General features: G+C 39.7%; 2 protein-coding genes and 1 non-coding gene across 44 annotated transcripts in view, besides 1 other annotated feature; 2 read left to right on the top strand and 1 right to left on the bottom strand.

The window, feature by feature from the left end:
- PPHLN1 (periphilin 1) overlaps window positions 1–6,056 on the bottom strand; it is a 122,455-nt gene extending 116,399 nt beyond the window's left edge. For 38 of the 41 annotated variants that reach the window (XM_017019434.2, XM_011538459.2, XM_017019436.2 and 35 more), the window contains exon 1: window positions 5,994–6,056. The gene's annotated coding sequence lies outside the window, so the exon portion shown is untranslated. Of the gene's footprint in view, window positions 1–374; window positions 426–2,286; window positions 2,401–5,993 lie in introns of those variants that run through there. The other 3 variants (XM_017019435.2, NM_001364834.2, NM_001364826.2) reach the window with 2 other exon arrangements.
- A 72-nt stretch (window positions 6,057–6,128) lies between these two features.
- On the top strand, window positions 6,129–20,137 carry ZCRB1 (zinc finger CCHC-type and RNA binding motif containing 1). 2 transcript variants are annotated; one of them, NM_033114.4, is made up of 8 exons: window positions 6,129–6,299; window positions 8,119–8,204; window positions 9,777–9,805; window positions 14,325–14,436; window positions 14,776–14,883; window positions 18,237–18,349; window positions 18,458–18,533; window positions 19,025–20,137. In NM_033114.4, the coding sequence occupies exons 2-8, from the start codon at window positions 8,121–8,123 to the stop codon at window positions 19,154–19,156; spliced, it is 654 nt and encodes a 217-aa protein (NP_149105.3). In that variant the 5' UTR covers window positions 6,129–6,299; window positions 8,119–8,120; the 3' UTR covers window positions 19,157–20,137. The 2 variants fall into 2 exon arrangements, with proteins under 2 accessions (NP_149105.3, XP_016875613.1); XM_017020124.2 differs by lacking the exon at window positions 8,119–8,204.
- Window positions 6,384–6,433: an enhancer, noted in NCBI's record as "active region_6211". NCBI's record gives its function as "activates an Ori minimal core promoter by ATAC-STARR-seq in GM12878 lymphoblastoid cells {active_cell/tissue: GM12878}" and the evidence as "EXISTENCE:reporter gene assay evidence [ECO:0000049][PMID:35858748]".
- On the top strand, window positions 8,364–8,523 carry MIR7851 (microRNA 7851). The gene has a single exon (NR_107005.1). It is a non-coding gene; the product is annotated as a microRNA 7851 (primary transcript).
- Window positions 20,138–24,873: the final 4,736 nt, after the last annotated feature.

Raw genomic sequence — 24,873 nt, 5'->3', positions numbered from 1 at the left:
TCTTTTTCTTTCTTTTCCTTAGACAAGGTCTCACTCTGTTGCCCAGGCGGGAATGCAGTGGGGCAAACACACCTCACTGTAGCCTTGACCTCCTGGGCTCAAGTGATCCTCCCGACTCAACCTCCCTAGTAGCTGGAACCACAGGCATACCACCACACCTGGCTAATTTTATTTTTTATCAAGTCATGGTCTTACTATGTTGCCCCCATGCTAGAACCTTGTAATTTTTAAAGGATTTAAAAATAGCTGATAAGTACAGCAAGCTTCCTGATTAGCGGCATATGTTGTTTATGATATTATCCAGGCTTAGGAAATTGACCAATCAGTTACATTTATACAAAGGTGTTCAGACTCCCAGTGAGTGATCATGTTACCTGCCACATCATCACTACATCTCCTCATATCAGTGCAGTTTCGATGGTACTCCAGAAAAGTTATCTAAGCCAACAAGATATTCAAACTGAAGAATCAACAGAACAATAGAAGGACCCTCTACATCACAATTAGGCAAAGAACAGAATTAGAACTCAGTGTGGAGAATACAAGCTTCATTCAGAAGTGCGCTAATAACTGGTTATGGATTATAAAAATCTCTTTCTCTTATGCCATATTCAATGAAGACGGTATGTTTAATATACCATCATGGGATATTTAATTCCAGAAAGAAAAGAAGCCTTTCTTAGAGCACTCCACTGGGCTATCCAACCACTGTTATGTTAACTTCAACTGAGGGCTGAGAGATTATGGAGGACTTGCACTCTAAGCAAAAGTGTCATGGAAATTGAGAAAACAAAGTCATAGGCAATATCCTTCTGTCAAACCATTAACACTCTGAATCCAAAGTCAAGATAATGGATCTGTTTTTTCATTTTAACCAAACTGGTTATAGTAGCAACTTAGGCTATAGTAACTCTGCATTCCAATCTAGTCAGTTTCCATTATTAAATACACTCAGGATAAATAGCTTCCCCTCCCCACCAAAACTCATTCCTTCGCTTTTTATATTCTTTCAACAACTATTGATAGCCAACTAGAGTTACTGAACAGCAAAGTCACATTGACCTCAAACTTCAGATGAACATAGGTCTTTGCACTGGCAATTCCCTGCACAGAATATTCTTCTCCAGATGTGGGGAAAAGAAAGAGAGATCGGACTGTTACTGTGTCTATGTAGAAAAGGAAGACATAAGAAACTCCATTTTGATCTGTACCATGGCTGGGCACGGTGGCTCACGCCTGTAATCCCAGCACTTTGGGAGGCCGAGGCGCGCGGATCACAAGGTCAGGAGATTGAGACCATCCTGGCTGACATGGTGAAACCCCGTCTCTACCAAAAATACAAAAAATTAGCCAGGTGTGGTGGCACGTGCCTGTAGTACCAGCTACTCAGGAGGCTGAGGCAAGAGAATCGCTTGAACCCGAGAGGCGAAGGTTGCAGCGAGCCAAGATTGCACCACTGCACTCCAGCCTGGGTGACAGAGCGAGACTCCATCTCAAAAACAAAAACAAACAAACAAAAAAAGATCTGTACCCTGAACAATTGTTTTGCCTTGAGATGCTGTTAATCTGTAACTTTAGCCCCAACCCTGTGCTCACAGAAACATGTGTTGTATGGTATCAAGGTTTAAGGGATCTAGGGCTGTGCAGGATGTGCCTTGTTAACAACATGTTTACAGGCAGTTTGCTTGGTAAAAGTCATCACCATTCTCCATTCTCGATTAACCAGGGGCACAATGCCCTGCGGAAAGCTGCAGGGACCTCTACCCAGGAAAGCCGGGTATTGTCCAAGGTTTCTCCCCAATGAGACAGCCTGAGATATGGCCTCGTGGGACGAGAAAGACCTGACCGTCCCCCAGCCCGACACCCATGAAGGGTCTGTGCTGAGGAGGATCAGTAAAAGAGGAAGGCCTCTTGCGGTTGAGGTAAGAGGAAGGCCTCTGCCTCCTGCATGCCCCTGGAAACGGAATGTCTCGGTATAAAACCCGATTGTACATTTGTTCTATTCTGAGATAGGAGAAAACCACCCTGTGGCTGGAGGCGAGATATGCTGGTGGCAATGCTGCTCTGTTATTCTTTACTACACTGAGATGCTTGGGTGGAGAGAAGCATAAATCTGGCCTATGTGCACATCCAGGCATAGTACCTTCCCTTGAACTTATTTGTGACACAGATTCCTTTGCTCACGTTTTCTTGCTGACCTTCTCCCCACTATCACCCTGTTCTCCTGCCGCATTCCCCTTGCTGAGACAGTGCAAATAGTAAACAATAAATACTGAGGGAACTCACAGACTGGTGCCGGTGCAGGTCCTCCATATGCTAAGTGTTGGTCTCCTGGGCCCACTGTTCTTTCTCTATACTTTGTCTCTGTGTCTTATTTCTTTTCTCAGTCTCTCGTCCCACCTGACGAGAAACACCCACAGGTGTGGAGGGGCAGGCCACCCTTCATCCAGGTATCTGTGGAATTAACTTTCCTGCCCTTCAATGTCACCTTCTTAATGTCACTTATAACAGATCCCCCAATCGTGCTATCTTTAATTAGCACTAATAATCTAAGATACCACATAATGTACTTTTAATACACATTAGTCCCTCACTAGTAATATTTCTACTAGTAGTATTTCTAGTAGTGAGGGTTTAATCTGTATTAAAAGTACACTATATAGTATCTTAGATTATTAATGCTAATAATAATAAAAAGCAGGAATGTCTATTTGTTCACTGATGAATATTAAGCTCCTAGAACAATTTGCACACTGTGCTCAGTATTCAGAGTGAATTAATATTCTAATGTTTCTATTAGAAAATATTTGAAATTCCAGGCCGGGCGCGGTGGCTCACGCTTGTAATCCCAGCACTTTGGGAGGCCGAGGGGGGCGGATCACGAAGTCAGGAGATCGAGACCATACTGGCTAACACGGTGAAACCCCATCTCTACTAAAAATACAAAAACAAAATTAGCCGGGGGCGGTGGTGGGCGCCTGTAGTCCCAGCTACTCGGAAGGCTGAGGCAGGAGAATGGCATGAACCCGGGAGGGGGAGCTTGCAGTGAGCCAAGATCGCGCCACTGCACTCCAGCCTGGGTGACAGAGTGAGACTCCGTCACACACACACACAAAAAAAAAAAAAAATTGAAATTCCAGACAACTAAACATAAATTTTAGAACATAATTAGTTAAGGTCATTGAAAAAAAAAAATTAACTGATGCTGGGGCTGGGTGCGGTGGCTCATGCCCGTAATCCCACCATTTTGGGAGGCTGAGCCTGGCGGATCATTTGAGGTTGAGAGTTCAAGATCAGTCTGGCCAACATAGTAATACCCCGTCTCCACTTAAAAAATATACAAAAATTAACCAGGCATGGTGGGACATGCCTGTAATTCCAGCTACTCAGGAAGTTGAGGCAGGAGAATCCCTTGAACCTGGGAGATGGAGGTTGCAGTGAGCCATGATCGTGCCACTGCACTCCAGCCTGGGCAACAGAGCAAGACACCGTCTCAAAAAATAAAAAAATAAAAAGTACTGCATTCTCTACTAGTTTCACAAGTCACTTGACTTTCCAACGCTTTAAGGATACTTCTTTTATAAGCCCGAATGTACTGCACTAAACTTAGTAGGAGATCCCTGATTGTCCATTATAATTGATCAATTAACTGAAATTACACAAGTAAACAAAAATGCCAGATGTCTGCCTACATATAATATTTATAAATCTGAATTTTATTTCATATATGGATGGAAGTTAAGGCCTTAACCGGTCAGCCTCCTTCCAGTGTTTTACCCTCCATTTTACCCTAAAAAAGGATAATCAACTGTTAACGCATATTCATAATGTGAAGTTTCCAGGATCAAGAATCCAAGAGGTTTTTTATTAACCATAATAAATCCAAACTTCTATCTTCCATATGCCTCCTTCTATTATATCTAACCTTCTATTCTCTCCAAAAGCATATAATTATGCCTGTTTCCTTACTGTGCCACAAACAGACTAACACATACTACCACGGAGCTGTTTATTTTCCAAACGGGATATCTTTTTCCATTCTCTCATTCAACATCCAACGGTCCATCAAGGCCCAACTCAAAACCTATTATTCTCCACAAAGCCCATTATATAAACCCTACAAGACTTAAAACAGATTCCAAACTAGTGACTGATAGGCCATATGAGACTTGTGTTTGACCCACTTTTTTTTTTTTAATAAAATTCTATTCCACTGACAACATTTAAAAACTGGGAGAGGATGCTTTTTAAAAAATGGTATTTCCAACTTTTTTTGAAAAAATTAGATGTTCTGGCAAAACTGGGATCATATTCTCACATAGCCACAATCAGCTGTAGCTGAGTGGCAGGTGACCCCTTCTAAGGGTGAAGTATTCATTAACGTTAACTGCCTGATCTCTGCAGCATACCTTCAGCACCTGCAATCATTCAAGAAATAACTGACTGTCTTATGTGCCAAGAACTGTATTAGCTACTGGAGTTACAAAGATAAACGAGACAAACACAGTCCCTCACCGACAGTCTCGCTTAGTAGGGATGGCAAAGAAGCAATTAAGATACATGTGATAAATGCCGTGAGGGAAGTGCAGGACAGCTAAGAGTACATAGCAAAAATACCTAACTCTATGGAAGTTAGGGTATACCCCTCAAGTAAAGTGACAGCTAAACTCAGATCTTTAATAGAAGTTATCCAGAAAAAGATAGGAGGAAACAGGGAGCTCAAATGTCCCAGAGAGAGAAAAGAGCCTTTGTGAAGATACTGAGGGAAGAAAGTATTCTGAGGAATTGAAATCCGTTCAACATGGCTACAGCCATGCCCAACCTTTAAATGCAGGGTCAGAGAAAGGGCTCAACTGAAATGGCTGGCAGGAAAATCTACGTGTTATCAATAGTTAAGGTTAGGAGATGAAGGAGAATTTCACTAAAGAAGTTGAATATGTAAAATAGTTTAAGCAGGAAATAGAGGTTTCAGAAAGCACAGATGGGGTGTTGAGGGGTTAAATGGGGAAGAAACGAAGAAGCAGTGATAGCCTAAGTCGAAAGAAAGCACAAAGCAGCATGGAAATGAGACTATAGCACAGAAGACCACAGAAGCTTACATCTTGGGCGGTAACCAAGGATAACAGAGATGTAAAGCATGGTAAGTTTGGCTGGCCACAAGTATGCCTAGAGAATTAGTGCCAGCGGTCTCCTGTCGGCCACGGAGGCATTCAGGCCTCTCAAAATTCAGCTGCGCCCTGGATGGATTGTACTTCCGTCTCTATAGAAGACATCGGCTTCACTCTGGATTGATTGTGCAGGCTCCAGGAGAGGCTGTGGGTTCCAGGCTGCTGGAACGCAGGCTCCCAGGGAGTGGTTAGAGGCCTGGTCTGTATGTGCTGGTAGGCAGAAGTATAAATTACCTTGCATTACGTTCTGATTTTTCTGTAGGAATGGTGGGCATGTTATGGCCTCTTAGAGAAAAAGCAGTGCGTAGCCATTATAGATTTACAGGAAGAGAAAAGGTGCCAAGAAGATCAACACTTGTCCATACCCATACTAAAGATGAGTCATTCTGTGAATCCAACTCTCCCCAAGTTGACCTCGTCTCCCCAACTAGACTGAGATCTTCACCAGAAAACAAAACAAAACAAAACATAAAAGGTCTGTTTATTTTGTAGTTCCCAAAGTGCCTAATAGCTGGGTACCGTGAACACCTTCAGTAAAATTACCGACTTCCTGACTCCTCTCGGGTCACTGAAGTTACCTAGCTCAGTCGTCTTCTTGCATATTAAGGCGCTACAGAGAGGCGAACCCCTATCTTAGACTCAATACTTCCCTTTATTCCAAACTCCACTGCGTCTCTCCACCCTCAACCGCATGGGCAGAATTGTCACACAATTCAAAGGCAGGAGAATCCAGGACCCGACACAGAAAACTCCCGCCCACTCCCCCCCGTTTAGCAGCCCGCACACGCTCTGCATCCATCTCTGGGAAAGGTAAAAAGCGCTCACCGACTCTGGCCCTCCGGGAGACCCCGTAAATGCAGCCGTCCGCTCGCCGCCGTTATCCCAGGTAGGTACTTCCGGCGCGCGCAATGACGTTAGCGAAGCGCTCGCCTCTGGGCCCGCCTTCGGGGCCCGGATCTCAAACAGTCGGGAAGAAGCACCGTGGCTGCTATTATCTGCTCTCCGCGCCTGACCCCTCCCAGGACTCGTGATGCCAAGGCCGCTGCGAGCGGCTACGAAGAGTCGGGGTTGAGCCCCAGCTGAGCCGAGGGCTCGCACTCTTCTGGTCTCCCAGGCCCAACCCACCTGAAGGTAAACGCCTCCTCAGCTGCGGCCTTCTCTCCTGCGGGGCCCCCTCCCCAGACTCGGCTGCCAAAACGCTCTGCCCCTCTCTCCCGCCACCCTTTTTATTCCAGGACCTTAACCTCTGCCTGCCTTCGCGGCTCTCAGCAGAACGTGTAACGCATAGTTTCAAATGAGAAACTTAAAAAGCGACGTATCTATGTTGAGTTCCTGAAGTTTTCTAAATAATTCCCCCATAACACCAAACATGAGGCAGTTTTCTCATTCCTTCACGAATTGGCATGCCATAGAGTCAGTATTTTTCCATTTGTGATGGTTGATCTTCCCATCTCAAATACACACCGCACGCTCTTTTTAAATCAGAAATTTGAATTTGGTTGAGCCTGATATTTTCACGGTAATTTGCTGACTTTGTAAGATAAGATGTGAAAATTACTGATTACATTTGTAAACTTTATATACATATACACACATACCTACAGGTCTGTCTCTTCGAGGCACCAAGCCTATTTATATAATGTATCATTTCATAATTTGGCAATAAGCAAAATTAGCGTTTCGAAAGAAGTTTATATTGTCGATACATAAAGCTTAAATTTACTCCTTAACATCATACTAAAAGGGGAAAAGAAAATTTTCCTCTTAACACACCACTCCAGAGAAAAAAAATATTAAGACAAGCAAAAAAGGTACCCAGCCATAGTACAGGCATGCACAGCATAACAACTTTTTGATTAACAACAAACCACATATACCACAGTGGTCTCCTAAGAGTGTAATACATTGTACCATATTTTTAGTGTACGTTTTCTGTGTTTAGCTATGTAAATATTTACCATTGTGTTTCAACTGTCTACATTATTCACTACATTAACATGCTGTACAGGTTGTAGCCTAGGAGCAATAGGCTAGACCATCTAGGTTTGTCTCAGTACACCCTGTGATGTCTGCACTGTGAAATCACGTAACACTCAGAACATACCTCCTTCATTAAGCATAGCATGACTGTGTATTAGCAAAAATCAGTGGCTAAGGTTCTGTCTGAGTCCCCATGCTCTTTCTGACCTGGGTGAGCAAGGTGCAGGTAATGTACATATACAGTACATATTCAATAGAGCATTTTTTTTGCTCATGGTCTGAGTGGAAGTTAGGAGTAGCCTCAGGGTTTTTCCTTCATCTGTTCAAAACCCGTCTCCCTACCCATACAATCTGGCACTGAAAGTGTTGGTATAAAGAATACTTGAAAGAAGAAGAACCAAAAAAGAATTTTTTTTAAGTGGTGACTGGGAAAAAGGAATTCCTTAATTCAGCCTGCTGGAGTCATTGTTCCTAACTTCCTAAAATGTAAGGAAGGTGTACACATCTGGCATAATTAAATCGGTGATTGTTAATACTTTATTGGTTTTTGTTTTTTGTTTTTTTCCAAATAATACCCAGACTGGTCTGATGTATTGGTTTTATTTGGAATTAATAATACTTGGTTTAGGCCAGGTGTGGTGATTCATGCCTGTAATCCCAGCACTTTGGGAGGCTGAGGCAGGTGGATCATTTGAGGTCAGGAGTTCAAGACCAGCCTGACCAACATGGTGAAACACTGTCTCTACTAAAAATACAAAATTAGCCAGGCATGGTAGTGGATGCCTATAATCCCAGCTACTCGGGAGGCTGAGGCAGGATAATTGCTTGAACCTGGGAAGCAGAGGTTGCAGTGAGCCGAGATCACGCCATTGCACCCCAGCCTGGGCAACAAGAGGGAAACTCCGTCTCAAACAACAAAAAAAGAATCCTGGTTTAGACTGATTGCTGATAAGTTTGTTTTCACTTTTAGAAATGAGTGGTGGATTGGCTCCAAGTAAGAGCACAGTGTATGTATCCAACTTGCCTTTTTCCCTGACAAACAATGACTTGTACCGGGTAAGTAAATCTTATCGAGTGACTGCTATTTGAGATACAGATAACCTTAAGCAAATAGTTCTCCCTGGCAAATTCTTTTTTCCTTTTTTTTTTTTTCTTTTTTTGAGACAGTCTAATTCTGTCACTGAGGCACGAGGCTGTAGTGCAGTGGCACTATCATGGCTCACTGCAGCCTCCCCGCCCCCTCAGGTGATCCTCCCACCTCATCCTCCCAAGTAGCTGGGAATACAGGTGTGTGCCACCATGCCTCTACAAGCTACCTGGGAGACTGAGGTTGGAAGATTGCTTGAGCCTAGGAGGTCGAGGCGACAGTGAGCCAAGGTCACACCACTGCACTCCAGCCTGGGTGACAGAATGAGACCCTGTCTCAAAAAAAAAAAAGAAAAAAAAATAGAAGCTATATTTATTGAACATTTAAGTCAAATTATGTGTTAGATACTAAGGAGATGCTAAGATGTTAGGTGCTAAGGAGAAAAAATAACGCAGGAAAGGTGGGCTATTGAACGTTAAGTTGGGAATGGAAGTGAAATTTTACATAGGGCGGTCAGAAATGCCATTATTGAGAAGGTGACTTTTGAATAAAGACCTGAAACGAGTAAGAGGCACCTGTGCAAATTCTAGAGGACAAACATTTCAGAAAAAGAGGGGTAATCTTAGGTAAGCCCACTCGAGGTGCCTTATACGACCTATTTACATCATGGTAAGGACTCTGGCTTTCACTCTGCATGAAACAAGAAGCCATTAGTAAGTATTATATAGAAGACTGTACTGGCCTTCAGAACCCAGTGTTGCTAACACTGCTATCCAGTTATTTTACATTCCAGCATTATACAGCTTAATCATAGAACGAAAAAATTCGTTATTATTGGTTGCATATACTAACACATTCTAAAAGACTTTTTATATAATAGGAACTCTTAGTATATGGGTAATGAGCTGGAACTGTAGAAATAAATGAGATTGCATAGGATAAAGTAAAAGTAACAGAAGAGAGAGCCAAGTATAAAGTTCCACCAACATGTTAATGGTGGGCAGAGGAAGAAGACTGATAGAAATGGATTTTTCATTATAAAAGCTTATTTTATGAGGTTTTGTTTTGTTTTTTAAATAAAGCAGTCTAAGGATTTGCCTTCTCAAACAGGGATTGCTTAATAGGAATAACAAGGTAGTGGTGAGGGTAGAATTGGAAAAGTGCTGCTCCATAAGATTGACATTTGAAGCACAGGTGTATCTGGCACTATGATGGAGTTGATAGTTGCCATGGGTATACCTCAGGAACACAGCAGCTGTCCAGTATGTATGCCTTAGATCTACCACATGTGTAGAGTGAGTTTTTTTCTCTGTATTTACTCCATTGTCAAATTTAGAAACAGACAGATACATGTGACTCCAACAACAGTAAGTATATTATTCTAGTAACCAAAAAAAACTTTTTCCTAGGGCCTGTCTTATAGACTGAAGGCTGAAATTATTCATAAACTGTAACAAAGAATTTGGTCAATGTCTGCAACCTAAAAATTTGATGTTTTATGATTTTAAAATAAATTGTAAATATTTGGTCTTTTGTTTCAGATATTTTCCAAGTATGGCAAAGTTGTAAAGTAAGTATTCACATTAAATTTTGTAACTTCATTTAAAAGTTTATCTGAATTTGCTTCTACATTTTTTTAATGACAGATTTTTAAAAATAAAACATGCTTGATATAATAAAGAAAATACTATTAACATTTTTATGACAATTTAGTTGGTTTTCCATGTACATAAACATGTAGACAATTTTTCTTAAAGACTATTACATACATACAATTTTCTTTTCTTTTTTAATTTGACATACCATAAATGTCTTTCCATGTGCTATAAAGATACATCCTCATAGCTAATGGTAAACAAATATTTTGGTTACTAGGAAGTGTGTTATCAAGTATACTATAAGTAACCTACTTTCAAATAAATAGGTGGTTTTTTGTTTTGTTTTTTTTCATATAAATAGTGTAAAAACAAATATTTCAGTGCATCTGACTTGCAGGATGCTATGAGTCTTTTAAATAGAAAACATATTATCTTCCTTCAGAGATAGCTTGGAGATCGTTGGAAAGACTAGAAACATGCAAAAATGGTAATGGATGATAACAGGGCTGAGGGTTAGGAACAATAAAAAGAACTTGAACTTCTCGTATTTCACTGTTTTAAATCAAGCAACTATATTATGGGGCAAAAAAGTAACAGGATACTGTCATCCTAACTTTCTTGTAACCAATATAGATTCTGATATAAATTTAAAATCCCAAGAATTTTGAGCATATTTATCTTGGCTAATTTCTTCTAGTGTTCCATAAATGGATATTAAACAGTTGAAGCTCTTTTGCATCTTGAAATTACTAACTTCTTTTACAGTTACTTTGCTATTAAAAAAGCATTATCAAAAATGCTTCTGTGTAAATTTTTGGGTGTTCAGATTTTAAAAAGTCATTGTCATCAGTCCAAACACTGGTAATGATGATGGTATGTGATACTTAAATGAGCACATATATATGCCAGGCATTGTTCTAATCTCTTTATGTGTATTATTTAATTCTCACAACTACCCTTTAAGGTAGGTACTATTATCATCTCAGTATTATACATGATGAAACTGAAGCACACAGTAAACCTAAGGTCATCTTGCTAGCTAGTGGTGGAGAAAATATTTGAATCCAACAGTGAGATTTCAGAGCCCACTCCCTTTTACCTTTTTTCTTTTTCCACTTTGTTAGAATCTCTGAATGGATCTCCATATAAATATATAGTCCTAAACCATGAAACTGCAATGGAGTTAAAGACACGAGAGTTATAAGCACCTAGAAACAGGGAAGACTATCTAGTCTAGAGAGCCAGGGAAGGCTTACCTAGGTCAGTATTTTTTGAGTGGAAACCTAAAGGATGAGTAAGAGTTAAGTAGGCAAAAATAAGGGAGGAATATTTCAGGTAGAGGGAATAGCTTGTGCAAAGGCCCTGTGGCAAGAGAAAATAAAGTGAGATCAAGAAATAGAAAGAAGGCCAATGTGACTGGAGATGAGTGAGTAAGGGGGAGAAAGCACAAGGTGGCTCCAGAGATGGAAGCAGGTTCCTCATCTTACTTCTTGGTCAGGTTACCAAGGTATTTGGTTTTCATTCTAAGAATATCAGGAATCATTTAAGAATTTTAAGTGAGGGGTGACATGATTTAAATTTTTTAAAGTTTATTCTGGCTTAATGTAGAAATTAGATTGGAGGGGAACAAAAGCAAATGCAGCTGGGTGCAGTGGCACACACCTGTAATCCCAGCACTTTGGGAAGCCGATGTGGGAGGATCACTTGAAAGGTCATGAGTTCAAGACCAGCCTGGCCAACATGGAGAAACCCCATCTCTACAAAAAATACAAAAAGTAGCCGGCCCTGGTGGTACACACCTGTAATCCCAGCTGCTTGGGAGGCGAGGCATGAGAATTACTTGAACCCAGGAGGCGGATGGAGGTGGAGGTTGCAGTGAACCAAGATCACACCACTGCACTGCAGCCTGGACAGAGCAAGACCCCATCGCAAAAAAAAGAAAAAAGCAAATGCAGTGAGACCAGTCTGAATCTAAAACTGTAGCCCAGGGGAGAAATGTGTACTAAAATAGTACAGGTGGAGATATAGAGACTGGTCAGATTTGAGAGGTGGTCAGATTTCAGAGATCATTATGAAATAAAGTGGGTAATAGTGATGTGTATAGGAAGCAAAGTGGGTACTATTTAGTGATATGCTTACTTTGCGTATAAGGACTTTGTGAACAAGAAGGAGGTGTTATGGATGACATTCAGGTTTCCCAAAATAGTGTATGCTTCATATTATGTGCTTAAATAAGTACATCATATACCTTATATTAGGAAATGGTGCTATTATCTACCTCTTTTCCCTTGCCAGAAACATGGGAGTCACAGTAGATTTGTCCTTTTAAATCTCTGATGTAATTTTTTTTTTCTGTTACCACAGAAGGTATCTCTATCAAAGTATTGTATGATAGTTGGTTTGTTGGTCTGTCTCTACCACTAAACTGTAAGATTTCTCCTGAGGGTAAAAACTACTGTTAGTGCTTAGCACATGGGCTTGAGGCTAACAGAGTGACTGAGTGACCGAATGAATGAACACACACAATGTACTCTTTTAGAAACTACTTTTCCCATTTTTTTGGTCTGTCTTTCCCATTGAATATAAAGGTATATCTATCAATCAACATATTGAGCTGGGCACATATGGATTACAGAGACAGCCTTAAAGGAGTTTACATTAAAATAGATGAGATGAGGCATTGTTTATGAATAACACAATTCAGCAGAGACTAGCATAACGGAGGAGAAATTATATCCAGTTGAAGCTATTAGAAACTGACACATTGACCTGAACCCCGAAAGAATGAGGAAAATTTTAATGAGCAGTGATTCAGAGGTGGAAGAAGATAGAAGCTGTATGAACAAAGGCACAAATTTGGGGAAATACAGGCCATGCTACTGGAGCATTGAGTGGTTTCTTTTGGGTAGACTTCATAGTGTGTGCGTGGGAAGGAGCAGTGAAAGATGAAGGAGATGGGAGCCAAATCATCAAGGATACTGACAGTGGGACAAAGAATAGGCAACTTACAGAACCAAAGATTTTTGAACAAAGGAATGGTGTGATTTTATTTATTCCTTAAGTAGAAGACTACTTAAGGATATGAGAAAATTATAAGAGAAAAAATTACCATAAAGGAACCAATAAGAATAGACTGTTAAAACAGTAATGCCCCTATGGACAAGAAAAAAGCAGTGGAATTGGAAAAGAGGCAACAGATGAGAGATCATTAATTGAGGATGATGTAGAAAGCCAATACTTCTTTTGAAATACTACTTTAAAAAAAAAGACTGATAACTTTCACAAACATTACGAAAAATTCCAAAACATAAAGCAACTACCTTATTCAATATTTCTGTCAAATTGGTGATTTTTCCAACTCCAGCATTCCCTCTACATTCACCAGTCATCCCTTGGCATTCTGTTGTAAGCAAGAGCCTTCCCTCCCATCTCCTCCACTTATTTATTGGTCTTTTATCAGTAAGAATTATAAATTCCTACCTTCTCTGTGGCTTATAATTTATTACTGTAATGAATTATTTTGATGCTCAAATTGTCCTTGATTTGGCCAGTGGGAGCTCCTTCCAGCTGGCTGCTGTATTCTTGGCCCCATCATTCATTCATTCATTCCTCCCTCCGTCTCTCTCTCTCTCACTCGCTCACGCACTCTTGCACTCTCTTACCTTCTGGCATAAGATGTTCCAAGCTCCTCTTGTACCTGCCCTGCTGTAGCCTTGGAATCCGCTATTTCTCCAAAGAGCCCTGTTGAACATTGTTTTTAAACTATGTTAAATGACATACGGTGGGCAAGGGCCTCCATGACTAGGGATGTGGATGGGGCAGGAGAAAGAGCAGGCTCTGTGCTCTCATAACTCTCCTTGTCACTCAGGTACACCCTGGTGGGTGGTATGGCTAAAAACCACAGAACTGGAGATTCTTTTTCCCTAAAGATCGGGGTCTCATTATGTTGCCCAGGCTGTTCTCAAACTCCCATGCTCAAGCATCCTCCTGCCTCTGCCTCCCAAGTAGCTGGAACTACAGGTGCGCACCACCACAACCAGCTCTGGAGGGTTTTTTTCCTTATTTTTCTGAAGATTCTTTAAAAGAATATTAAGAATATACTTTGATTCTAACACTTAGAAAAATAAATAAATCATTTTACTTTTTGTGTAAAGTATACCTTTATTTTGTTTTGTTTTGCAAGGTGAGGGAGTTAGCATGGAAGAGGGATTGTGGTTACACTTTAAGATTTCATTGTCTCTGTAATTTCTTTACTTCACCCTTCAATCTCTGATTAACTCCTAATCATAGCTGTGCTCACTTCTGTTAAATCAGTATCACCCTTTCCCATTTCCATTCTTGATATCCCTTGACTTTGAAGAGATAGCTGATTTTTCAAATGTATTAATTTATCTTATAAATTTTTAGCCCTTTTTAAAATGAATTTTTCAAGTATTAGTATCTGTTTTATTTATTGCTGCCTCATTTTTAACTCTTTGTTTATGCTTTAAGGGTTACCATCATGAAAGATAAAGATACCAGGAAGAGTAAAGGGGTTGCATTTATTTTATTTTTGGATAAAGACTCTGCACAAAACTGTACCAGGGCAATAAACAACAAACAGGTAAGCTATTCATCTCCATCAAGGTTTTTAGCCCCAAAGCCTTTATGCTCATCCAGGCCAAAAATGTGGGGATATAGTGGATCATCAGGTCTAGCAGATATCAGTAGATTCTTAAGATATCTAACTTATAGAAAGAAAAGAGGTCAAACTACTGGGTTCTCAAAACATTGGTGGAATCTCAGGAATAAGAATACTACAGAATAGAATTTATCACACCTAAGTGACAATTGCTAAAAAATCCAAAATAAACTGGAATTGAAGATTTGAGAAAATTGATTAAATAATTAATTTTAGGTTTCAGTGAAATACATTCTACATTTACATTTTTCTCTTGTTTAGTTATTTGGTAGAGTGATAAAAGCAAGCATTGCTATTGACAATGGAAGAGCAGCTGAGTTCATCCGAAGGCGAAACTACTTTGATAAATCTAAGTGTTATGAATGTGGGGTAAGTAAACCTAAAACTTAATGGAACTTTCCATAGTTTAAGATACTTTTCACATCAGTCTTTTATTTTTGCTCACCAAAACTTCTGACTGGCTAAACCAGATTATGAAAATGCTTTATTTTTTAATATTTATTTTTTTGAGATAGGGTTTTCCTCTGTCACCCAGTGCAGTGATGCAGTCACAACTCACTGCAGCCTCTACCTCCCGGGCCCAACTGATCCTCCCACCACAGTGTCTGAGTAGCTGGGACCACAGGCATGCACCATCACACCCTGGTTAATTTTTAAATTTTTTTGTAGAGGCAGGGTCTTCCTATGTTGCCCAGGCCAATCTCAAACTCCTGGGCTCAAGCAGTCCTCCCACCTCAGCCTCCCAAAGTGCTAGAGTTACAGGTGTTAGCCATGGTGCCTGGCCTAGTTGTTAGGGTCTCTAAACTCATCAAAGTAAATTCAATTGAAATGCAATGTGTAAAGATAACCTGAGTTGGGTAATACAAAGTGGTATTTTCTCTAGTTCCTAAATCTTTGAAAATCACTAGTTTTAAAAGTGTTAGACTGATTACTTATGTCACTGTCTTGCAAGATTTTCGTAACTCATAAATTTTTGTTAATAGGATATTGCCTGTTTCTTTAACAGTTTTTAAGTCACAGTTCAATAGCAACATTATCATGTGACTTTATCCTCTATGGGATATTGTGTTTTGAAGTTTTTTATTTTTTCCTATTAGTATTGCTAGTGTTTTGTAACTGAACTATCCCCACATTTTCTTCTTTGGTTCTCTTCATGATCTGTCATTATCCATTTAAAGTTTTGGTGATGAAGAGAGAGAGACAGCCATAGAATAATTTTGTATAAGGTCTGTATTGGTACCAAGAGAATTTTAGTCTGGTTCTCACAGGTGTAAGTTTGTAAAATGACCATAAAAATACTTAAGAAACAGGCCGGGCACAGTGGCTCACGCCTGTAATCCTAGCATTTTGGGATGCTGAGGTGGACGGATCACTTGAGGTCTGGAGTTCAAAAGCAGACTGACCAACATAGTGAAACTGAGTTTCTACTAAAAATACAAAAAAAAAATTAGCCAGGCATGGTGGCAGGTGCCTGTAATCCCAGCTACTTGGAAGGCTGAGGCAGGAGACTCGCTTGAACCCAGGAGGTGGAGGTTGCAGTGAGCCGAGATTACTCCACTGCACTCCAGCCTGGGCAACAGAGGGAGACTCTGTCTCAAAAATAAAAATAAACATAAAATAAAATACTTAAAAAACAGAGTCCAGAGGTAGTAATGGGGAACTGGGGAGAGAATCACTGAAAGATACCGTCCTGGCTACAAAATCACATGGAAGATGCAAGGAAATGGCTTGAGGTCCTCTACCCCACTGTCACTCCCCATACCCCCGACAAAAAAGATAACTAAATAAACAGACTGATGGATGGATGAATAGAAAGAGTGAGCAAGCAGTTGCTTGGATACATACTGATTCTGTCAATTCCTATGATTCTAAAACCTCTTAAGTAAACACTTTAGAAACTTTTCCAAAGTTTTGAGTTTTGTAAAAGAAAGAAAGGGAGGGAGGGAAGGTAGTTATATTCAGATTAGTATATATCTTCATATTCACAGTAAATATTAAATTATCTGAGAAATCCTAGATGAATCTGTTAATCGGTTCCTTTTGGTTTATGGATCCATAGAGTTGTTATATTTTTTACATTTTTATATTTAATTTCCCTCCCTCCAAAAAAAACTTTTTTATATTGACCTAGCCTGGTTTTTCTCAAGTTATTTCATTAAATCCTTTTTTAGTATGGGATATGTTAATTTTTTTTTGCTATAATATTATTCCAAAACAGTTTCAGATATGTGTCTCTATTTTCTCAGCAGCTCATTAACAGTAAGTAACCTCTTTAAGTTGGGCTATGTCCTAGGTATACAAAGTGCACAGTCTGTCTGCTCTGTCAAATATACTGGAAAAGCATGATTATTGTTCCCTTCTATTGTTCTAACCTTGGCTCAGTCCCCACACCCTACCCTGACATAACCTCTTAAATGGAATTGTAGTGAGCTGATGTCCAGATTATAGTTGAGCTCTTATGTTTTACAAATCAATGTTCTAGCTAAGTAGGAATAATAGCCTAGTCCAGCATTGTCAAATGAGAATATAATGCAAGCCACGTATGTTACTAAGTCTTCAGAAATCCAATGTGTATTTTACCTTTACAGTACGTATCAATTCAGACAAGTTCTCAGTAGCCACATTGGCTGGCTAGTGACTACTGTAATTGGATAGTGCAAGTGTAGTCAGGATATAAAAGGGAAAAAACGGAAGTAATTCATAGGAAAAGTGAGGAAGAAATTTTCCATTTGTTTTTTGGTTTTTTGTTTGTTTTTTGAGACAGGGTCTTGCTCTGTTGCCTAGGCTGGAGTGCGGTGGCACAATCTCAGCTCACTGCAGTCTCTGCCTCCCGCGTTCGATCAATTCTTGTGCCTCAGTCTCCTGAGTAGCTGGGATTACAGGCATATGCCACCAAGCCCAGCTAATTTTTGTATATTTAGTAGAGACAGGGTTTCCCCATGTTGGCCAGGCGGGTCTTGAACTCACTTCCTAAGGTGACCCACCTGCCTCAGCCTGCCCAGCCCAACAGAGTATTAAGCAACATCTTGGAAATTAACAGGAATAGTTTTATCCTCGTTTTATCAATAACTTAAGATGTTTACATTTAGGGTAAATGATCCATTTAAATTTTGATTTTTTTTTTTTGAGACGGAGTTTTGCTCTTGTCACCCAGGCTGGAGTGCAACGGAATGATCTCAGCTCACTGCAACCTCCACCTCCTGGGTTTAAGCAATTCTCCTACCTCAGCCTCCTGAGTAGCTGGGACTACAGGTGTGTGCCACTTATGCCCAACTAATTTTTTTTTTTTTTTTTTTTTTTTTTTTTTTTTTAGTAGAGACGGGATTTCACCATTTTGGTTAGTCTGGTCTCAAACTCCAGACCTCAGGTGATCCACCCACCTCGGCTTCCCAAAGTGCTAGGATTACAGGCGTGAGCCACCGCGCCCGACCAAACTGTTTTATATCTTGAATTTTGAGATTTAAATGTTTGAAAGAAGACTACTACCACTACTCTTAGTAAAACTACTAAATAGTCCTAAATGTTAAAATAACTGAGAGTTATAATATCACCTTCTAAATATTAAAGTACTGGGTTTTATCATTAATGTCTTCTGTATAGTCCCAGTATGGGAATATTCCTTTTTAAATTTGAAAACTTTTTAGTAATAAGGTACCAGGCAAGTTTTTATAAATAACATCAAATATGGTATTTTTCCTTTCCTTTTTAATGGGAAACAAAAGGAAAGTGGACACTTAAGTTATGCCTGTCCGAAAAATATGCTCGGAGAACGTGAGCCTCCAAAGAAGAAAGAAAAAAAGAAAAAAAAGAAAGCTCCTGAACCAGAAGAAGAAATGTATGTATATTATTCTTACTAAATACATCATCATGTTGCTTTTGTCTTTTGGTTGGTTGCTTTTGATTATTGGTTGGTTACATTCCAATTTGTTTTTCTTTATTTAAGTGAGGAAGTAGAAGAAAGTGAAGATGAAGGGGAGGATCCTGCTCTTGACAGCCTCAGTCAGGCCATAGCATTCCAGGTATTAAATTGTTCTTTTAAAAGGCATCATACAATAGTTGACTTGGTTTATAGTGCTTGCTTACTTCATTGATCACCTCATGGCAACCTCTCTTTTTCCCCCTAACCTCCTAAGCCTTAGGAGACAAGCTGTTTCTCTGAGGTACTTAGCCAGTGTGAATGAAAAGTTCCCATTGGTTCTTCCTAGATTTTAAGGGCCCCACAACACTTACTATCTTAATCTTTTTTCATTAAAGAAATGAGCAGAACTATTTGCTCAAAGTGAATATAGCCCAACAGAAAAGATTTTTTTAAGAAATTGCCTAGGATAATTTTGTGTAAGATTTTGAGATGAGACAGAACTCAGGGGAAGGGAGCAGATCTTATTGTCTGCATGGACTGGGAGGGTGGGAAGTAATGGCATTTGTGGTATGTTTTTGCCATGTTTTGAATTAATGAACCATAAATAATATTAAACAGGTTATTGGTTTTGTTTTGTTTTTTGAATCACAGCAAGCCAAAATTGAAGAAGAACAAAAAAAATGGAAACCCAGTTCAGGAGTCCCCTCAACATCAGATGATTCAAGACGCCCAAGGATAAAGAAAAGCACATATTTCAGTGATGAGGAAGAACTTAGTGATTAAAATCTTGCCCCAGCACAGTAATAAAAATCAAGATTTGTTAGTAACAATCTTGAAGAGCTAATTTTAATAAAAATAAGAAAAATTAATACTATCATGTTAATACTATTATTGTCATCCCAAGAAAAAAGATATTTTAAAAATTTATTTGAAAAGTTCATTATAAGGGCTTTATTCATGCCTGATTTGTTTACATGAGGACTTCTGAAATTAATCCTTAAAACAAACTTCCTGAAGACCGAAAAGTTGAATGATTTATTGTTACTTATATTAATAAACTTTTCAAGAGAATTTTGTCTTTAAATATGGGTGTTTTGTCATCATATTTCTTGTAGCTTTATCCCAATCTGGATAAATTGTAAATACCTATAAAATAAATTATAAATACCTATAAAATATAAAGTAACATAGCTCTAAAAGGCTTAAAATCAAACACAGGTGTTATTTGTCTGCCCTACCCATAGCACCAAATTCCATTCCCTAGAAGAAACTACTTACATGTGCACACATGTAGCTAAATAAAGTACATATATTTCAGTCACTTAATAAAAGAATAAAGGAGAATTATTCAATCTCTTATACTTCTCCTACCTTCCTCAATATTCCCAATGTGGCTGTATTAAAAATTTGGGGGAATCCATATATATCTTTTTTAATAACCAAGTAAATACTTTTCATTTCTGAGCCAAGGAATATGCTATGATTACGTTTTTTCCTAGAGTTAATAATTGTCTATTTTTTTTCCATGTATTGTCTTTGTATTTATGACTAAATCTTCCCATTCTGTCTGCAGGTGGGTATATGGTAATGGGATTAGAGAGCCTTTAATTTTCTGCTTTGTATATTTCTATATTGTTTAACTTTGTAAGAATGCCCATTACTTTTTTAACTAGTAAAAGCAATAGAAATAAGTTAATACTATCATAGTAATATTATTATTGTCATCCCAAGAAAAAATATATTAAAAAGATATTTGAAATTTCATTATAAAATCTTGTGTTTCCACTTTGAAAACTACAAAGTGTTAACCACCCACCAGCAAAGAATCTTCCAGATTGCAACAAGACAATGATTGAATGCAGTACTCAACCATCTGTTTGGCCATTAGTCAAATACCACAACAGTTTTGGTTTGTTTTTTTTTTTTAATTTTTATTCATTTATTTATTTTTGAAACGAAGTCTCACTCTGTCGTCCAGGCTGGAGTACAGTGGTGCGATCTCAGCTCACTGCAACCTCCACCTCCCCGGTTCAGACCATTTTCCTGCCTCAGCCTCCTAAGTAGCTGGGATTACAGGCACGTGCCACCACACCCAGCTAATTTTTGTATTTTTTTAGTAGAGTTGGGGGTTTCACCATGTTGGTCAGGCTAGTCTCAAACTCCTGACCTTGTGATCCACCCGCCTCGGCCTCCCAAAGTGCTGGGATTACAGGCATGAGCCACTGTGCCCGGCCTACCATTTTAAAGCAAATAATTGGGAAAAGATTTGCCACAAATATATAAAAGTTTCTATGAATACCTGAAAACAGACTCTAATAGGAAATAAATTAGTGACAAATAGAATAGTTAGAAGATAAAATAGGCCAGGTGTAGTGGCTCATACCTGTAATCCCAACACGTTGGGAGGTCAAGACAGGAGGAGTGTTCGAGGCCAGGAGTTTGAGCCCAGCCTGGGGAACATAAGGAGACTGTCTTTACAAAAAATAACATTAGCCACTCACACCTGTTGTCCTAGCTACTTGGGAGGCTGAGGCGGGACAGCCTGGGAAACAGCATGATCCTGTCTTTAAAAAAAAAAAGTAAAAAAGTTTATCATTACTTATTAAGGAAATCTATTACAACCAGTGATACATCAATTTTAACCTAATTAGGAAAAAAACACTTCAGTGTTGGTGAGGATGGCATTAAAAGCACTTGTGGTATCGCATACATGCCCTGGATCAATTCTGAAGGGTAATTTAACAATAAATATCAAATGTTAAGTATGTTCTATTTTTTTAACTAGAAATTACATTCTATTTTATCCTAGGGTTCTAATCAGAAATGCAGGTATTTATTTATGTACAAACATATTATTTAAAATTCAAAACAATTGTCAGCCGGGCACGGTGGCTCACACCTGTAATCCCAGCATTTTGGGAGGCCAGGGCAGGTGAATCACTTGAGGCCAGGAGTTCGAGACCAGCCTGGCCAACATGGTGAAACCCCATCTGTACTAAAAATGCAAAAATTAGCAAGCCATGGTGACACATGCCTGTAATTCCAGCTACTCAGGAGACTGAGGCACAAGAATCGCTGGAACCAGGGAGGCAGAGGCTGCAGTGAGCCCAGATCGCACCACTGCACTCCAGCCCTGGGTGACAGAGTGAGACTCTGTCTCAAAAAAAGAAAAAAAGAAAAAGAATTGTCAACAGCAAATTAAAGCATGATGCATTCACAATAATAGATTATTAGGAAGCATTAAAATGTTTCAAAGAATTTTTAATTGTATGAGAAAACATTCCAGATACAATGTCAAGTGTAAAACACTTGCTATATATGGATACATATCTGCATATGGAAGGGGGAAATGCTCACTGCTAAAGTAGCAGTGCAGAATGGTTAAGAGTATGCTCTTTTTTTTGACAGATACACTTAGGTTTCTATGGCCATATTGCCACTTAAAGCTGCTGATCGTAGACGATTTACTTAACCTGAGTTATATGAAAACTAAGAAGGTTAAAGCAACACAGAAGGACAAATATTGTATGATACCACTTACATGAGGCACCTGGAATAGGCAACGTGAAATTCATAGAGACAGAAAATAGAGGTTACCAGGGTCTGAAGGGAGGTAGAAAGGGGGGCTATTTATTTAATGCATAGTTTCTGTTTCAGTTGATGAGAAGTTCTGGAAATGGCTAGTGGTGACGGTTGCTCAATACTGTGAATGTACCTAATGGCACTAAGTTGTACACATAAAAATGGGTAAAATGGGCCGGGCACAGTGGCTTATGCCTGTAATCCTAGCAGTTTGGGAGCCTGAGGCAGGCAGACAGCCTGAGCTCAGGAGTTCGAGACCAGCCTGGCCAACAAGGTAAAACCCCATCTCTACTAAAATAGAAAAAAATAGCCGAGTGTGGCAGTGTGCACCTGTAGTCCCAAATACTTGGGAGGCTGAGGCAGAAGAATTGCTTGAACCCGGGAGATGGAGGTTGCAGTGAGCCAAGATCATGCCACCACACTCCAGCCTGGGCGACAAAGCGAGACTCTGTCTCAAAAAAAAAAGGTAAATTTTATGTGATGTATATTTTATCACACACAAAAAAAAATATGCCTCAAGTGACAGGACTGCATAGAAAAAAATGTGCAAACATAACTAAAAATTTTTTGTGAAGTATAATTAGGCCAACAAGCCCTCCCCACAGCCCACCAAGTCATGCTGAACCATCACACCTGCAAGCCCCTTCCCTGCGATCTATGTCCAGGATAAGATTAAGATAGCTTTCCCACCTCAGGCAAGGGATTGGAGGGGTCCTTCCCCAGGAGAAAATACATACAGCTTGAGATATTAGCCCTAAAGAAAATGTTCAGTAATAAAGACCTCCAAGTTGATATGCCCAAGGCAGTGCTAGTGAAATATGCTCTGCTCAGCTTTTCAGTGCTTCACATTCAAATATGAACAGACACATAAGCATCAACAAACATTTGAGGAAAGCCTCTAATACAACGGAAACCCAAACAAGCATACCACAAAAGAGAGCTTTAAGAACAATTCTGGCTTTGAAAATCTATCTATCCCCTACGGTTTCAGAAAAAGAGACCGAACCTGTAAATTTGGTAGTTTCTTTTTTTTTTGAGATGGAGTCTCACTCTGTCACCAGGCTGGAGTGCAGTCGCACAGTCTTGGCTCACTGCAACCTCTGCCTCCCAGGTTCAAGCGATTCTCCTGCCTCAGCCTCCTAAGTAGCTGTGACTACAGGCACGCACCACCACACCCGGCTAATATTTGTATTTTTAGTAGAGACGGCGTTTCACCACGTTGGCCAGGATGGTCTCGATCTGCTTACCTCATGATCTGCCCGCCTTGGCCTCCCAAAGTGCTGGGATTACAGGCGTGAGCCACAGCGCCAGGCCGTTTTTTTGTTTTTTTTTTTTTTTTTTTTTTTTTTTTTTTGACAGAGTTTCACTCTTGTTGCTCAGGCTGCAGTGCAATGGCATGATCTCAGCTCACTGCAACCTCCACCTCCTGGGTTCAAGCGATTCTCCTGCCTCAGCCTCCCACGTAGCTGGGATTACAGGTGTGTGCCATCATGCCTGGCTAATTTTCTATTTTTTTAGTAGAGATGGGGTTTCACCATGTTGGTCAGGCTGGTTTCGAACTCCTGACCTCAACTGATCCACCTGACTCGGCCTCCCAAAGTGCTGGGATTACAGGCCTGAGCCACTGTGCCAGGCCAACTTGGTAGTTTCTAATAAGTACTTGTCTAGCAGAGAATGCCCTTCTTGCTGGATATGACTAATGGTTTTTTGGGTTTTTTTTTTTTCCTTCTGCAGTCATTTATTTACTCATTGCTTTTTTGACTAGATGCCTTATTCTGAAATTGTCAATTACAGTTTTCAGATTATCATGAAATTCAATTATGCCCACATATGACATTTATAAATTTTGCATGTTAATTTATTCCTTTGTTTTATATGCTAAAGATGTGTGTTTATATATGCCAGGTGTGGTGGCATGCACCTGTAGTCCCAGCTCCTGGAGAGGCTAAGGTGGGAGGTTCCCTTGAGACCAGGAATTTAAGTCCAGCTGGGCAACAGAGTAAAACCCTGTCTCTAAAAAACAAATAAAAGTGAATTTAAATAATATTTTTGGCCAGGTGTAGTGGCTCATGCCTATAATCCCAGCACTTTGGGAGGCCAAGGCAAGAGGATCTCTTGAAGCCAGGAGTTCAAGACCAGCCTAGGCAGCAAAGTGAGACCCTGACTTTATAAAAATAAAAAATAACTGTTTTTAATTTAAAAAATTAAAAACTATGTTTTAAATGCTTAAATATTAAAACCTTGATTACCATACCTAGAAAAGTACTTGAAAGCTTTACATAGAATATGCCATAGATCAGTAACTTAGGTTCAATCATTGATGGAGGGCTGGAAATGTAATTTTTAAAGTGGGGAGAAAACTATTGGATCATATAACTAAGTCATTCAGCTTCAGAAATGGATAAAAGAGATAAAAATATAATTAGAAATCTATTTTTCTTTGTCTTACCACCGCTTTCCTCTGTACTTCCTTTATTTCTCAACAAGCTTTCTTCATATGGTGGTAGAGATGACCACCAGTATCTCTAAAGGTAGGAATCCCAACAAAGAAAACCCCTTTCCCAGTGGTCCCAGCAAAAGTTCCAAGAAAGCCCTGATTGGCTAGGTCTCTGTCACAGTCCCCATTCCTGGAAATAAGGAAGAGAGTCAGTCCCACCCCGACTACATAGAGTGAAAGTGTTCCTATGCAACGCGGGATCTATTTTCAGTTTGGAATCAATGTGGAAATTATCCTGTAAAAAGAATCTTAAGCTTAAAACCCTCCTTTCAACATTTCCCAGGGCAGAATACTGAGACGGCTGAGCAGAGCACACAAAGAAAATAAAGATTCAGCCTGGGCGCAGTGGCTCACGCCTGTAATCTCAACACTTTGGGAGACTGAGGCAGGTGGATCACCAGAGGTCAGGAGTTCAAGACCA

The sequence above is a fragment of the Homo sapiens genome, chromosome 12 (assembly GCF_000001405.40).
Source record: "Homo sapiens chromosome 12, GRCh38.p14 Primary Assembly".
NCBI classification, from domain to species: Eukaryota; Metazoa; Chordata; class Mammalia; order Primates; family Hominidae; genus Homo; species Homo sapiens.
The sequence above is the reverse complement of the archived record's forward strand: the minus strand, read 5'-3'. Positions and strand labels throughout refer to the sequence as shown.

What these genes read in the sequence shown, in the direction of transcription:
- ZCRB1 (NM_033114.4), top strand. Translation starts at nt 8,121, where the DNA reads ATGAGTGGTGGATTGGCTCCAAGTAAGAGCACAGTGTATGTATCCAAC. An exon ending in GGGCAATAAACAACAAACAG is followed by an intron (nt 14,437 to 14,775) that starts GTAAGCTATTCA and finishes TCTCTTGTTTAG; the next exon opens with TTATTTGGTAGAGTGATAAA. An exon ending in GTCAGGCCATAGCATTCCAG is followed by an intron (nt 18,534 to 19,024) that starts GTATTAAATTGT and finishes TTTGAATCACAG; the next exon opens with CAAGCCAAAATTGAAGAAGA.